The sequence below is a fragment of the Homo sapiens genome, chromosome 12, assembly GCF_000001405.40.
Source record: "Homo sapiens chromosome 12, GRCh38.p14 Primary Assembly".
NCBI lineage: Eukaryota > Metazoa > Chordata > Mammalia > Primates > Hominidae > Homo > Homo sapiens.
Genome location: NC_000012.12, coordinates 55,630,473 through 55,643,945, shown reverse-complemented (window position 1 = coordinate 55,643,945; position 13,473 = coordinate 55,630,473). Strand labels below are relative to the sequence as shown.

The window sequence follows — 13,473 nt, the reverse complement described above, 5'->3', positions numbered from 1 at the left end:
TGCCTGTGGTCCTAGCTATTTGGGTGGCTGAGGCGGGAGGATCACTTGAGCCTAGGAGTTCGAAGCTGCAATGAGCCTTGATTTTACCACTGCACTCCAGCCTGGGCGACAGAGCAAGCTCCTGCTCCCACATCCCCATACCCCCCAAAAAGATTGATTTGCTGGAGAATGAGGTATATGCAACCTCCTTTTGTTTTCAGGCTGTGCTTGGGCCCCATCTGATTTTACCAATTTCACTTGTCTATTAAGTGCTATTGGGGATACTTAACTTTAGGGTGAGTGGGTCAAATTACACCCAATTCATGGTGTGCAATACTGTTCCATAGTCACCTGGTGTCCAGTGGTCAGCTGTTCAGTGTATACTGTTGCCTACAAGCAGCCCAAGAGCAGTTTCACAAAAGGATCTTGATTGTTTGCCCCAAAGGGCAAGGTTTGGCTCCCAAATCTGTGATTCACCTCTTGGATTTACCGCAGGCTCCAGTGCCACTGACACTGAGCCTCTTACAGTCTGCTGGGCAGTTGGGAGGCCCAGTGGCGGAACTGCAGCGTGGGCCACTGGGAGAGCATTTGCTTCCTCTGGCTTTTAGGACATCCGATAAGTGGGTTGAAGCAGCCAACCCAAAAGGACTATATGTCGCTTCCCAAATCCAGATAACTACAAGAGGTCTTTTCTTACTGTAGGGAGCAAAAGGTGAGGCAACTTGTCCGTAACATTTGAGGAGATACCCTGATATCCCCAGAAAACCTTCACAGAGAGGCCAGGCCCCTAAATTTATCTCCTAGTTATAAATGTACATCAAGGGTACCTGCCATTTTCCTCTCTCCAGATGCTGTCAGTGTAGTTTCATCAATAGAATGGACCAGTGTGGTGCTCTACGGGGTGGTGACCTGATGAAGGTGCCTGTGGATTTGGTGGCGCAGAGCGAGAAAGCCGATGTAACCCTGAGGCAGGATAAGAAGGGTGACCTTGTGCCCTGCCAGGCAACAGCAAGTGGCTTCTGGAATCTTCTCTGCTTATGAGACGGGAAAAATTGCATTTTCTTTCTCAAGATTTGCATACCCAGTCCAGATGAGAGGAAGTGGCTTCCAGCAGAGGAGGCTCTCCTGTCCCCGCCCCCCACACCGTGTGTCACTGATCTCATTTTCTTGCCTCTGTTTATGCTCCTTAGCTCCTTGGCTGCCCTCATCTTTCTACTTTCTCTAAACTCACGTTTTTGGAGGGAGAATTGAAAGCATGGGCTCTAGAGCTGGAAACTCAAGTCTGTTATTTCCTAGCTGTGTTACCTAGGGAAAGTTGTTTAATGTCTCTGTGCCTCGGTTTCCTCAACTGGTTGAAATTGGCATAACAATAGAGTTGACCTACAGGTGGACCTACTGTCAAGCTTAAGCTTTTGGGGCTCTTCATTTGTATGGGTTCCTCATAAAGGTGTGGAAAGAGCCTTAGCAATTGTGTTCCTGTGGTCAAATGTCCTTATATAAATTGCAGAAGTGATGTGTTAACTGCAGGCTGTTGTAATGTCTGTCTTTTTCACTCTTGCTTCCTCTCTGTCACATTTCCTCTTCTTCTGGGGGGTGTTGAAGTAGCCATGGATATTTTTTATTAAATAGAGCTGTCTTAAATTGTATGAGCTTTAGGTCCCATAAAATTGAGATCTGTACCTCGTAGAGTTTTTATGGGGATTAAATAAGACAGTTACAGGTTAAGAGGTTAGTATAGTCTTTGGTACCTAGCATGTATGTGATGTTACCTATTCTTATTACTATTCATTCTGGTTTGACTGTCTTTCCATGCTTCCTGTTCAGATTCTAATCATCTCCAAGTTCTGCCTGCTCCAGATCACTGCACCGTATCTCTCTATCTTTTCAGTAGAGAGTGTCTTGGCCACCTGGATCCTGGTTGCAGCAGTGGCATCTCTGGGGGACATTTGTCTTTTTTTCTGTCTGTCCAGTGCCTTTGGAACACCCTTTCAATGTTTGGGAAGTTTTATGCCTCACTGGTCTTCATTCCCCAAGGTAAATTGCTTTTCCAGATTCTACAGAGGAGGATGCAGAATTCACCATCTAATGAGCTTGTAGGGAAGGCATCTGGCAGAGCCCAGGCCTGTCGTCCCGAGAGCCAGCTGTAGGCACTGGGCAGTGCTGTGTGAACTGTGCTGCCAGTGCCGTGGAGTTGACACTGGAGCTGCCCTTGCGGGTGCTGAGTGTCACCCTGGCCACACGGCTGGTAAACCTGTTCCCCTTGGAGACGCTGTGCACTGTGAAATCTTCTTTGAATAATTAGTCTCTGCTTAAGATGATCAGAGTGGAATCTGTCGTTTGCAACTAAGTGCCCTGACTGATGGACTGGTTTGTGGTCTCTGTGTCTCTTTTTGGTGCCTCTATTACCTATTTTCCATACCACAGCTAGAGTGATCTTTTAAAAACTCAAACCTGGTCTTGTCACTGAGGATGAGCCCCCAAGTTCTCAAGTGGCCCACAACATCCTTATGGTCTGTACCCAGTGGAGGTGGGAGCACTAGTAATTACCCTGATCCTTAGGCTTTCCACAAGGTGAAGGGATTTTTTATTCCACTCCCAGAGAGAAACAAGTGTAGAAACACTTCCTGCCGTCCTCTCTGGCCCCTGACTTGCTTCTTCATAGGTGGAGGAGTGACCTTAGTTACTCATGGTACTGTAGAGAGCATTTTTGCCTTCTTTGGTTTTTCTTTCAGGCTGTCTTGCCTTTGGCCACATGTACTCTTTTCCCTTCAAATGGTGAGCCCCTGCTTGGAGTGACCTGTAATTTGTATGGATCCTCTGTCTGTAACTGGGTGATAGTGGTGAATGCAGGGAGTATGACATTTATTTTGTTTTATTATTTTAATTAAAAAAACCTAAATAGAGGCAGGGTCTCGCTATGTTGGCCAGGCTGATTTCAAACTCTTAGTCTTAAGCAATCCTCCTGCCTTGGCCTTCCAAAGTGCTGGGATTACAGGCATGAGCCACTGCACCTGGCCTATTATTTTAATTGATACATAATAATTGTACATATTTGTGGGGTACACTGTGATGTTTTAATACATGTATACACTTGTGTAATAAGTAAATCAAGATATTTAGCATATTGTAAACTAAAGATGAAATCCCACGCCCCCCACCCACTGAGAAACCTTAAAAACGGAGTCCTCAGCCATGATGGCTGCTTTCATGACTGACATGGACCTCTGGCTACCGGTGCAGCCATGGCAATCACTGTGCTCAGGGATCCAGAACAATCTAGAAGATGGAATAGAAGGTCAGACACACTTTATTGTACCTCCTCTCTTCTATGGTTTAGACACAACAATTGACCAGCATTAATGTTAAAATAGAGGTCATGAGATTGACAGAATAGACTCTTTGTGGCAATAATATATCAAATTATGAACAGGACTTAAGGCCATGCCAGGCAAAGGTTAAGTCACACATTCCTACACTTAAAGAATAAACTATGTTCTAACTGCCACAAGGTTTTCCTTTTTCTCTAGCAGCTAAACAAGCTCTGGCTTCGAGATAAGCAATAGCAAAACAGTTGTAGCTCCTCCACCACCAGACACTTACTGGCTGACTCCCCTGTTCCACAAGCCATAACTACAGCTTTGATTGGCCAAATGATTGATTTCAGTAACTTTCTCCTGATAAGAAGACCACTGCCCAGGGGCTGCTTCTGGCCAGTTTACAGAGGCTGCACACTTGAATGCCTTTGTGTCTCTGCTTCACCTTTTGATGTAAGGGTCTAAATTGTAATGCACGTAAATGTTAAGTTTGCACCCCAAGGTGAACATGGGTCATATGCTACATATATGTTTATTTAGCACCTACATGTTAGGACCACCTTCAGGAATATTCCTAGCTCCTCCCGTAACCTACTGAATGTGTACACCTGGCCAACCTGCTTAGCACATAAATCCCTGTTCCACCTGCCTCTCCCTCGAAGTGCCTGCCTTTTGGGCTTTGGCTGGAGCCTATGCTTCCCAGCCTGTTAGAATGGCCACCTTACATGCTGTAACAGTTTTTAAGAAATAAAGCCTCCTGCTGGGGGCGGTGGCTCACGCCTGTAATCCTAGCACTTTGGGAGGCCAAGGTGGATGGATCACTTGAGCTCAGGAGTTCGAAACTAGCCTGGGCCACATGGTGAAGCCCCGTTTCTACAAAAAAACAAAAACAGACAAAAAAACCCCAAAATTAGCTGGTATGGCAGCATGTGCCTGTAGTCCCAGCTACTTGGGAAGCTGAGGCTGGAGGATCACTTGAACCAGGGAGGCTGAGGTTGCAGTGAGCCAAGATCATACCACTGCATTCCAGCCTGGGTGACAAAGTGAGACCCTGTCTTAGAAAAAAAAAAAAAAAGAAATCTCCCTTTCTAAATTTATAATTACCTTATGCCTTTATCATTTCTTTGTGGTGAAAACATTCAAAATTCTCTATTCTAGCTATTTTGAAATCTACAATACAATATTGTTACCTGAGGTCACCCTATGGTGCCATAGAACACTAGAACTTATTCCTTCTAAACGTACCTTTGTATCCACTGACCAATCCCTCCCTATGTCCCCTTCCCCACTTCCTTCTCCAGGCTCTGGTAACCACCATTCTACTCTCTATTTCTAGGAATGAGAACAACTTCATGAGACTTATTTTGACTGGATCATCTGAGGTCAGGAGTTCTAGACCAGCCTGGCCAACATAGTGAAACCCCATCTCTACTGAAAATACAGAATTAGCCGGGCGTGCCTGTAATCTCAGCTACTTGGGAAGCTGAGGCAGGAGAATTGCTTAAACCTGGGAGGTGGTGGAGGTTGCAGTGAGCCGAGACTGCGTCTTTGCACTGCAGCCTGGGCGACAAGAGCAAAACTTCATCAAAAAAAAAAAAAAAAAAAGAAAAAAGAAAAGAAAGAAGTGGGTGCAGAGGCTGGGCTACAGAAGAACACACTGATTCCCATGGCTGAATACTCCTTCGCACAAGAGCAGAGCCTCTGTGAGGGATAAGGACTCCTTGAAGATCACAGGGGTGGTAAGAGGGAAGACTGGGTTCCCATCATTTCCTGAACAGCTCATGTTATTGATGAAATGTTGAGGTCTCTCCTCACTGAAAGCCAGAGTTTCTGGCATTTCTTGGCTAGAGGACACAAAGGTGGTAATGATGTGTGAGAGGTGAGGGAATAGAGGGGACGTGGAACAGCCTGTCTTTTTGCCTCGGCCTTCTGCTGCCCTTTAGCTATGGGGGGCTCCAGGGAATAAAGCAGGAGAAACATCTGTCCCTGGGCTGAGGGAAGTGGGCAGCCGGTGGCACCTCAGCACAGAGGGATGGGAGTGTTTTCCTTCCACCTTGTCTTGCTTCTGGCTCCCTGGTTAGCTCCAGCTCTGGATCCTGCCTCTCAAGCTGGTGGGTCTTCTGGAATCCCTGACCAGCTCTTTCCCAAAAGCACCCACAGTAGGACACCCCAGTGTGTTTCTGGGAGACATGTATAGGCTGTCCTGGGAGATAACTTTTCCTGATGTTTAACTTGGTCCTTTTTGATACCATCTGACCATCTTCCCTTTTGTGCTGGTATCTTGGGAAGGAGAGAGCCTTATGACTGGAACCCTCAGATGCCCCTCTTCCTGAAGGCCAAGGGGAGAACAGATGTTCCACTGAGTAGAGGAAAGCTCAGACACAGGTGGTGGAAGAAAATGTAACAGAGGGGCTAGGTAAACTCCTCCACAGGCTTTGGGTGGGCCACTTAGTTGGATGTCAAGTTCACAGACACCTGCTTTCATGACTGACATGGACCTCTGGCTACCGGTGCAGCCATGGCAATCACTGTGCTCAGGGATCCAGAACAATCTAGAAGATGCTAAATAAATGTCCTTTCCCTAGGGCAGCAATCACTTTCATTCTACCTTGACCTAATAACCCATGCTCTGATAGTGAGTGTGGACTCTGGGATAAGAGGCAATATGTAGATTTATCTCTGTTTTAATTTCAGCACTTTCTTCCAGGAAGCCTTTTCCTTTGAGGTGCTGCATGATTTCTGTGAGAGTGGGGTTTAAATCCAGTCCCTGAAGAGTGGGAGGATGAGCACTGAGTGAGTGAGCAGACATCCGAGTCCCTTCAGGGTGAGGGGCGCTGCCTCTTCACCAAGTGTCGCAGGGCCCTCCTCACGTCCTTGTTCCGAAGGGTGTAGATGATGGGGTTGAGCATGGGTGTGATGACTGTGTAGAAGAGACTGAGGACGCGGTCTGTGGTAACAGAGGAGCCTGCCTGCGGCCGGATGTAGGTGATGCTGGCTGTTCCAAAGAAGAGAGAGACCACGAGCAGATGGGAGGAGCAGGTGGAGAAGACCTTGCGGCGGCTCTGGGTGGAGGCCATTGCTAGGATGGCACCCAGGATGCGGATGTAAGAGGTGACAATCAGAGAGAAGGGGATCATAATGAAGACTATGGTGGCTGTCATCACGGAGATCTCGCTCCTGTGCTTCCCAGCACTTGCCAGCCTCAGTACTGGCAGGATGTCACAGAGAAAGTGCGGGATGATCGGGTGGCTGCGAAAAGGTAGAGAGAAGATGAGGGAGGCATGGGTGGTGGCCGTGATGATGCCTGTGAGCCAGGAGGTACCCACCATGGCCATGCAGGCCCGTGGGCTCAAGAGGGTGGAATAGCGTAGGGGCTGGCAGATGGCAACATATCGGTCATAGGCCATGGCCGTGAGCAGGCAGCACTCCGAGATGCCCAGGACAATGAAGACGTACATCTGGGCTGCACAGCCCTGGAAAGAGATGGCCTGGGGATGCGGGGAGCCCAGATTGGCCAGGGTCCTGGGCACGATGTCAGTGGTGTAGAAGAGCTCCACCACTGAGAGTTGGCGCAGGAAGAAGTACATGGGGGAGTGCAGGGCAGGGCTGACCTGTGTGAGGAGGATGATCAGGGAGTTACCCAGCAAGGTGACCAGGTAGACCAGAAGCACCACCCAGAACAGGGGGCCCTGCAGGGCCTTGAGGTCAGAGAATCCCAGAAGGAGGAATTCAGGCAGTGTAGTATGGTTTTCCCCAGCCATCACTCCAGGCCAGAAGCTGAGGCACAGCCAAGAAGAGAAGTTATTTAGAAATAACAAGCAACATTTCTGTAATTTGGTAAAGCACTTGCCACACAGTTCCTCTCAAAATCAAGTGAGAGAATTAATACCTTTCTCTGAATGAGCCATGGGTCTCAGAGAGATTAAATAATGTGTCTGAGGTAATATCTAGAAAGTGGCAGGCCTGGAACTTGAATCCAGGTCTCTTGACTCCAAATTCGACGCCTTTCTCACTGTTTCCTGGGCTCTCGTCCTGTGTCTGGGGCCTGACTCTCATATGTAAAGACTCTAGCTCTGATCTTTGGATCTCTCTCCAGAGTGAGGGGTGAAGCAGCTGCTATGACCTAGGCCCCTTTGTACTCTCTAGATGGATGCTGAGGCACAAAAGAAACTGGGTAGCACCAGGGACTGTCCCGAACTGGTGTCTAATGTTCACCATAGTGAGCTGTGGGTTAAGAGTGTCACACAGTGATATGACTATTTGTGATAATACTGCCCAATGGTATCATTGGGATTCTGACACCTTCCCTGATTTCTCTGTTCTCCTCTTATCTGGGGCCCTGTGATCAGCTACACTAGCTGTTCTGTCCCAGCACACCCTGTTCTGTCAGGCCTCCATGCATTGCCATAGTGTCTCCTTTCAGAGGATATTTCTATTCTTCATATTAAAATCCCATCACACTTCAAGCCTTCACTCAAGTTTCGCTATCTCGGTGGCAGCTTTCTGTGATCCTCAGGCTCAGAAATAATTATCCATGGCATTTCAAGATTAAAAGTGACATTTAGGAACATATATTTCCATATGACAGTACTTGGATCTTATCTTCAACATTTTAGAAGGGTGCTGTGCAGAGTCTGTTTGAACATCTGCAGTGATGGGGAACTCACCACCTATTGAGGTAGCCCTTTCTAGCTATGGCCTCTTCTGCCTGTAGGAAAAGACTTTACTGTATTGGTCTTGGCTAAATGCTTAGTATTTCATACAATATTTAACTCCTCTTGCACCAGAGAGCCCTTGAGTATTTGAGGAAGGCACTTTTATCTCTGCTTTCATGAGATGTTGCTTGTCCTTTTGTCCTAGCACTTATTACTCCACTGTGAGATCCTGCAGGACGTGGTGGGGAGGTGGGGAGGCAGTTACCTATTTTAGCAGCTGCTAATGTTTCCCAAGTGCTTGGTTCCTGCCAGGCACCATGCTAAGGGCTAAACATTCATTAAATCATTGGATCTTCCTAATTACACTACGACATAGAAACCTTCATTTTCTCCATTTTACAGATAAGGAGAGGGAAGCCCAGACAGTGTTAAGTAACTTTCTCAATGTCACACATTTTGTAAGTGACAGAGTTTGGGTTCAAATCCAGGTCTGCCTAACCCCAGAGCCTGTGATCTTAACCACCAAGTTATCAACTGCCTTGGAGGTTAATCACCAGTCAAAAAAAAAAAAAAAAAAAAAAAAAGAAAAAAAAAAAAACCAAGGCCAGGCGCAGTGGCTCACGCCTGTAATCCCAGCACTTTGGGAGGCTGAGGTGGGTGGATCACGAGGTCAGGAGATCGAGACCATCTTGGCTAACGCGGTGAAACCCCGTCTCTACTAAAAATACAAAAAATAAGCTGGGCGTGGTGGTGGGCGCCTGTAGTCCCAGCTACTCAGGAGGCTGAGGCAGTAGAATGACGTGAACTCAGAAGGTGGAGCTTGCAGTGAGCCGAGATCGTGCCACTGCACTCCAGCCTGGGCGACAGAGTGAGACTCTGCCTCAAAAAAAAAAAAAAAAAAAAAAAAGAGGTTAATCACCAGAAAAACAAGCTCAGTACTTGGACCATGTCGAGTGTTCGCTAAACATTTATTAGATGAGTGAACGAATCTCAGTTATAAAGACAGAGGAACTGATAAATAGAACAATTAAGTGATTTGCCTAAATTTAGGCAGCTAGTTTGACAAAGACAGGAAACTGGACTGGACTTTCAGAAGTCCTGGTCCCAAGATTCACGGAGCTTTGATCACCCATATTGACCCACGCCATGAGGTTAGTCTGGCCATCTTCATATTTAGGAAACAGAGCCTCAAAGTTCTATCCATTGCACTTAACTTTCATCCCACCCTCACTCTGCTCTCTCAACATATTTTTTTTTTTGTGGCCTTAAACCATTTATTCTAGCTTATGTTTGGAGAGTGCTGTGTGCTGGGGATTATACAGTATATCAGTTGACCTTTATAACAACATTAGTGACAATTGTTATTTTGTCATTGCAGATAAAGAACCAGAGCTCTGAGGGTTTAAACGACCTATGCAAGATCACAAAGTCAGTGAACAGCAGAACCAGAATTGTAATTTTGAGCCTGAGGTATCAACCACATACTTACTATATGTCTTGTGAGGCCAATAGCCTCACTCTACACTTTTGGGAGATGAACTTGCATGTAGTCAGTTTGGACAGAAGGAGTATCTGAGTTCATTAGTCCTCTCTACTTTCGTCCATAAATCTTCATGACATTTTGGGCTGGCTGATTAAAAAGGAAAAAAAAACTTTTCAGATGTCCACACCACCAAGAAAACACGAAATAGATCCTGATGTTTTCAAATTTTTAAAATGTTGTTTTTTTCAATTAAAAATATTTAGGAAACATTTGGAATAAATCCACCATTATTCCATCACCTTAAATTCTTTTTTTCTCATATATCACTCTCAAGTCTTTGTCCCACTGCAAACCCATATTCTATGCTTGTAGTCATAGTGTATATACCTTATGTCTTCTTTTCCTTTTTTAATGTTTGCTGTAAGCATTTTGCCATGAGACCGCATGGTATTCTGAACAATCTTTCAAAAAAAATTCTTGTAGTAGTCCATTGAATTTCTCCACTAACATTTAACAAACGCTTCTCATCCTTGTGCACTTTACGCTGTCCCATCTTTTTTTTGCTATGGTAGACAATGATGAAAACAATATTTTCATGTGTGTCTCAGTTTGCTCTGTTAGCTTATTCCCTTAGGGTAAATTAAGAGTAATATTATTGGCTAAGCATGTGGACATTTTTATGGGTCTCGCTGTGTTATAATTGTTTTGGATTCCTGTAGCTGGACACATGAGTGGCAATACCAACCTTTCATCTCTTAGTAAAACAGGTCCCTTAAAAAAAATTCAATAGCTTTAGGGGTACTAGTGGTTTTTGGTTACATGGATGAATTGTATAGTGATGAAGTCTGGCATTTTAGTGCACCCGTCATCCAAATAGTGTACATTGTGCCAATAGGATTTTTTTTTTTTTTTCCCCTCAGCCCTCTCTCACCCTGTCCTCTTCTGGACTCCTTGACCCTCCCTGTCCTCATCCAGGCCTGTCCCTCCCTCCATACTCACCTCACCTTTTCCACACTGTGAGCATTTCTTCACTCTCAGACCTCTAATTAGATTTTGCCTTAAGATGTCGTCCGTGAGGGTGGAGAGGCAAGTTTCCCCCAGATTGTCTGTTCTTCCTTCCCTATTTCCACTCTGACTCTGATAATTTCCCTTTTCCTCTTCCCACACATCCTGACACAGTTGGGACAATCTTCAGAGAGACATTGGCCCTGAAGTCACCACTAAACTTTTCAAAGCCTCCCACAGAGGATCGCTGAGAAAGACAGAGTAACTGCCCGCAGGGTCACAGAGAGGGGATGAAGTTCTTTTTAAAAAACACTATTTTTTATTGTGGTGAAAACATATAACATAAAATTTACTATCTTAACCATTTTAAGTGTATGTCTCAGTATTGTTAAGTATATTCAACAGAGCTCTAGAACTTTTTCATTTTGCAAAATGAAAACTCTATACCCATTAAGCAATTCTCCATTTCCCCCTTCCGTGGCTCTTTTTAAAACCATAAAACCATCCGTATACCTCCAATAAGCCTTAGAGAGACAGGCAGATGGCAAATTGATCAGTGAATGGGCATGTGGCTTGGGGAACAGCTAACCTGTGGTTAACCAGCTAGATGGACAGAGGATGACCAGCAGGGTGTGGCTGGCTGGCTACAGGACTGGTTACCCGTGACCCCTGGATGCAGGAGATGAGGCTGTTAAAGGCTGAATGGAACAGAAAGCAGATCTTGAGGGGTAGCTTTGACATCTTGGGGGCAAGGGAGTTGGGATTCTGGAGCCTAATGGGGTTGCGGGAAATGGGGGAAATGAGGGAAGGACAACATTTATTGGGTCAGAGAGGTCTGGGGGAGCACAGCCAGGCAATAAACTAGCTTTTGTTCTTTCAGATTTTTTGTTTTGTCTAAAGTATTAATGGGAGCTGCACATGGTGTATATGTGTGTGTGTTGGAGAGGGTGTGGGGCAGCAAAGGAGGATGCAGGCAGCTGTCTGTGGGATCTGGGATGGGACCCATTAACAGGAGCCTGAGAGATGCTGACCATAGACAGTACTGAGGCTGTGATGCCCAGCTGACTTACACACTGCACGCAAACCCACAAGCCTGTACACACTATCCACTGCCTCACTCCATCACTTCACCCCACACACCCCATCCTATTAGACATACCACAGACATGCCTATGACACGATCACCACACTTATAACATGCTACACATACCCCACAGCATACCTACTCACACCATACATAAAAGGTTTGCACAGTCTGCGTATATACACACTTGCCTTGTTCTGTTATGTGCAGTTTTATCTGGCAGAAATTGTCCAACATTCTCTGTCTCCTTCCCAGCCCTTCTCCCTGTCCAGCCAGCTTAATGATATCTGAATCACACCTCTGCAAATGCAATAGTAGAGATTTGGGAACCGTCTCTGGACTTTTTTCTCCCACGCCCAGGGACAGATACTGACTCCCAACACACAGCAAGAGGTCCTAAGGCCCTGAATGGGCCCTGATCTGCCCACTGTTCCTCTTCTCTTCCTGTTTTTGGCAGGGTCTAGATGCATCAGAGAAAGGCCCAAGGCTGCTTGGCACTGTGTGGAGCACTTACCCAAGGAGGTGAAATTGTCATCCTGCCAGGGAGGCGGGCTGTTGGGCACAGGGGAGGCTCTGCTGTTGCCCTCTCTCCTCCCAGGAAGCCTCAGCCTCTGTGGCGCCCATAGTCATTCTCCAGCTGGCGTTGTGCCTCCACCCTGCTGGAGATTTGGGAACCCCTGACTCTTGGGGTTTCCCTGGGTAACCCTGAGCTGAGACAGTGTCATGGGCCAGATAATTCTGTCTGGATCCCCAGTGCCTGCTGTGTTCTCCTCCTGTCCTTAGGCTCATTGCCCTTGGTCAACTTCCTGACACCGTTTTTCTCTGGGATAACTATTGCCTCCCCACTCATGAAGGGTCTCTTTGGTTACAGACGGCATGAGGTTTGAGGGTCTCTGTCCCTCATGTCTAGAGTCTCATCCTGGGAATTAACTCCCGTGAGTGAAATCTCAGCTTCCTGTTAAATGTAGATGCTCCTGGAGAATTCTAGAGGCTATGCCAGTGATGTCATTGATCTCCATGCTTGGTTTGCTTTTTTGGAAGAAAGTGTTCCAGTGAGGAGACTGCCTGTCTGCTTATCCAGGGGCTCACAGGAGGGAGAGCTGGGTTTCCATCAATCCCCAATCTCCTATGTCATTGCAGATGTGCTGAGTGGGGAACTTACACAGAGAGTTCAGCCTTCTGAATATTTTCAGCATAGAAACGGTGTGGTGGATGATGGAAGGTGGTGACATTTGGGGATAGAACAGAGGTGTTATCTGAGATAACCTGGGCCTTTGCCTAAATCCCTGATGTCCTCTAGTTGACACTTGCTGTCTCCACTTTTTATCTCTCATTTTCTCCAATTGTCCCTACCACTCCAGAATTTTCTCTTATCGAGATAACCAACAACTTCCATGTTGCCAAATACAATGGTTAATTTTCAGTCCTCATCTTAATCTCTTAGCAGTCTTTAACACATTTGGTCCCCTCCTCTTCCTGAAACACTTCATTTAACTTTTGTGACTTTCAAACATATTTCTTTGTCCCTAGCCTTTCCTTATCAACACAACTGAATATCTCCCCTTAGGTGTTTTAGAGTCGCCCCAAACTTACCGTGTCCCAAATAGAGCTCTTGTTCCTCTCCTGAGCTTCCCCAGTGCAGTAAGAGACCTGTTGCCACCCAGTTGCTCAGGCCAAAAATCCAGCTGTCCATTTTATTAATATTTCTTTTTTAACATCCCACACTTAATTTTTCTCAGCAAGTCCTGTCACAGTTCTACCTCAAAAAGTTAATCCCAAGCCACCCTCTCTTACCATGTTTGCCGCTAAAACCTGGGCACAGCAAATTGTTTTTCACTGGGCCTTTGCTGCCCTCTGCATCTCACTCAGCTGGTGAGATTTTCTCCAAGTGTAGATCAGACAATGTCATTCCTTTCCTTTATTTTTTATGTTTATTTTTATTTTTGAGTCAGA

General features: G+C 46.0%; 1 protein-coding gene across 1 annotated transcript, besides 1 other annotated feature; it reads right to left on the bottom strand.

Annotated features, from left to right (window-relative positions):
- Positions 1 to 6,112: 6,112 nt before the first annotated feature.
- Positions 6,113 to 7,054, bottom strand: OR10P1 (olfactory receptor family 10 subfamily P member 1). Its single transcript, NM_206899.1, has one exon. The coding sequence runs from the start codon at positions 7,052 to 7,054 to the stop codon at positions 6,113 to 6,115; it is 942 nt and encodes a 313-aa protein (NP_996782.1).
- Positions 6,716 to 7,217: an enhancer, noted in NCBI's record as "H3K4me1 hESC enhancer chr12:56030513-56031014 (GRCh37/hg19 assembly coordinates)". NCBI's record gives its function as "activates a minimal SCP1, AML or CMV promoter by ChIP-STARR-seq in primed H9 embryonic stem cells {active_cell/tissue: H9 hESC(primed)}" and the evidence as "EXISTENCE:reporter gene assay evidence [ECO:0000049][PMID:30033119]".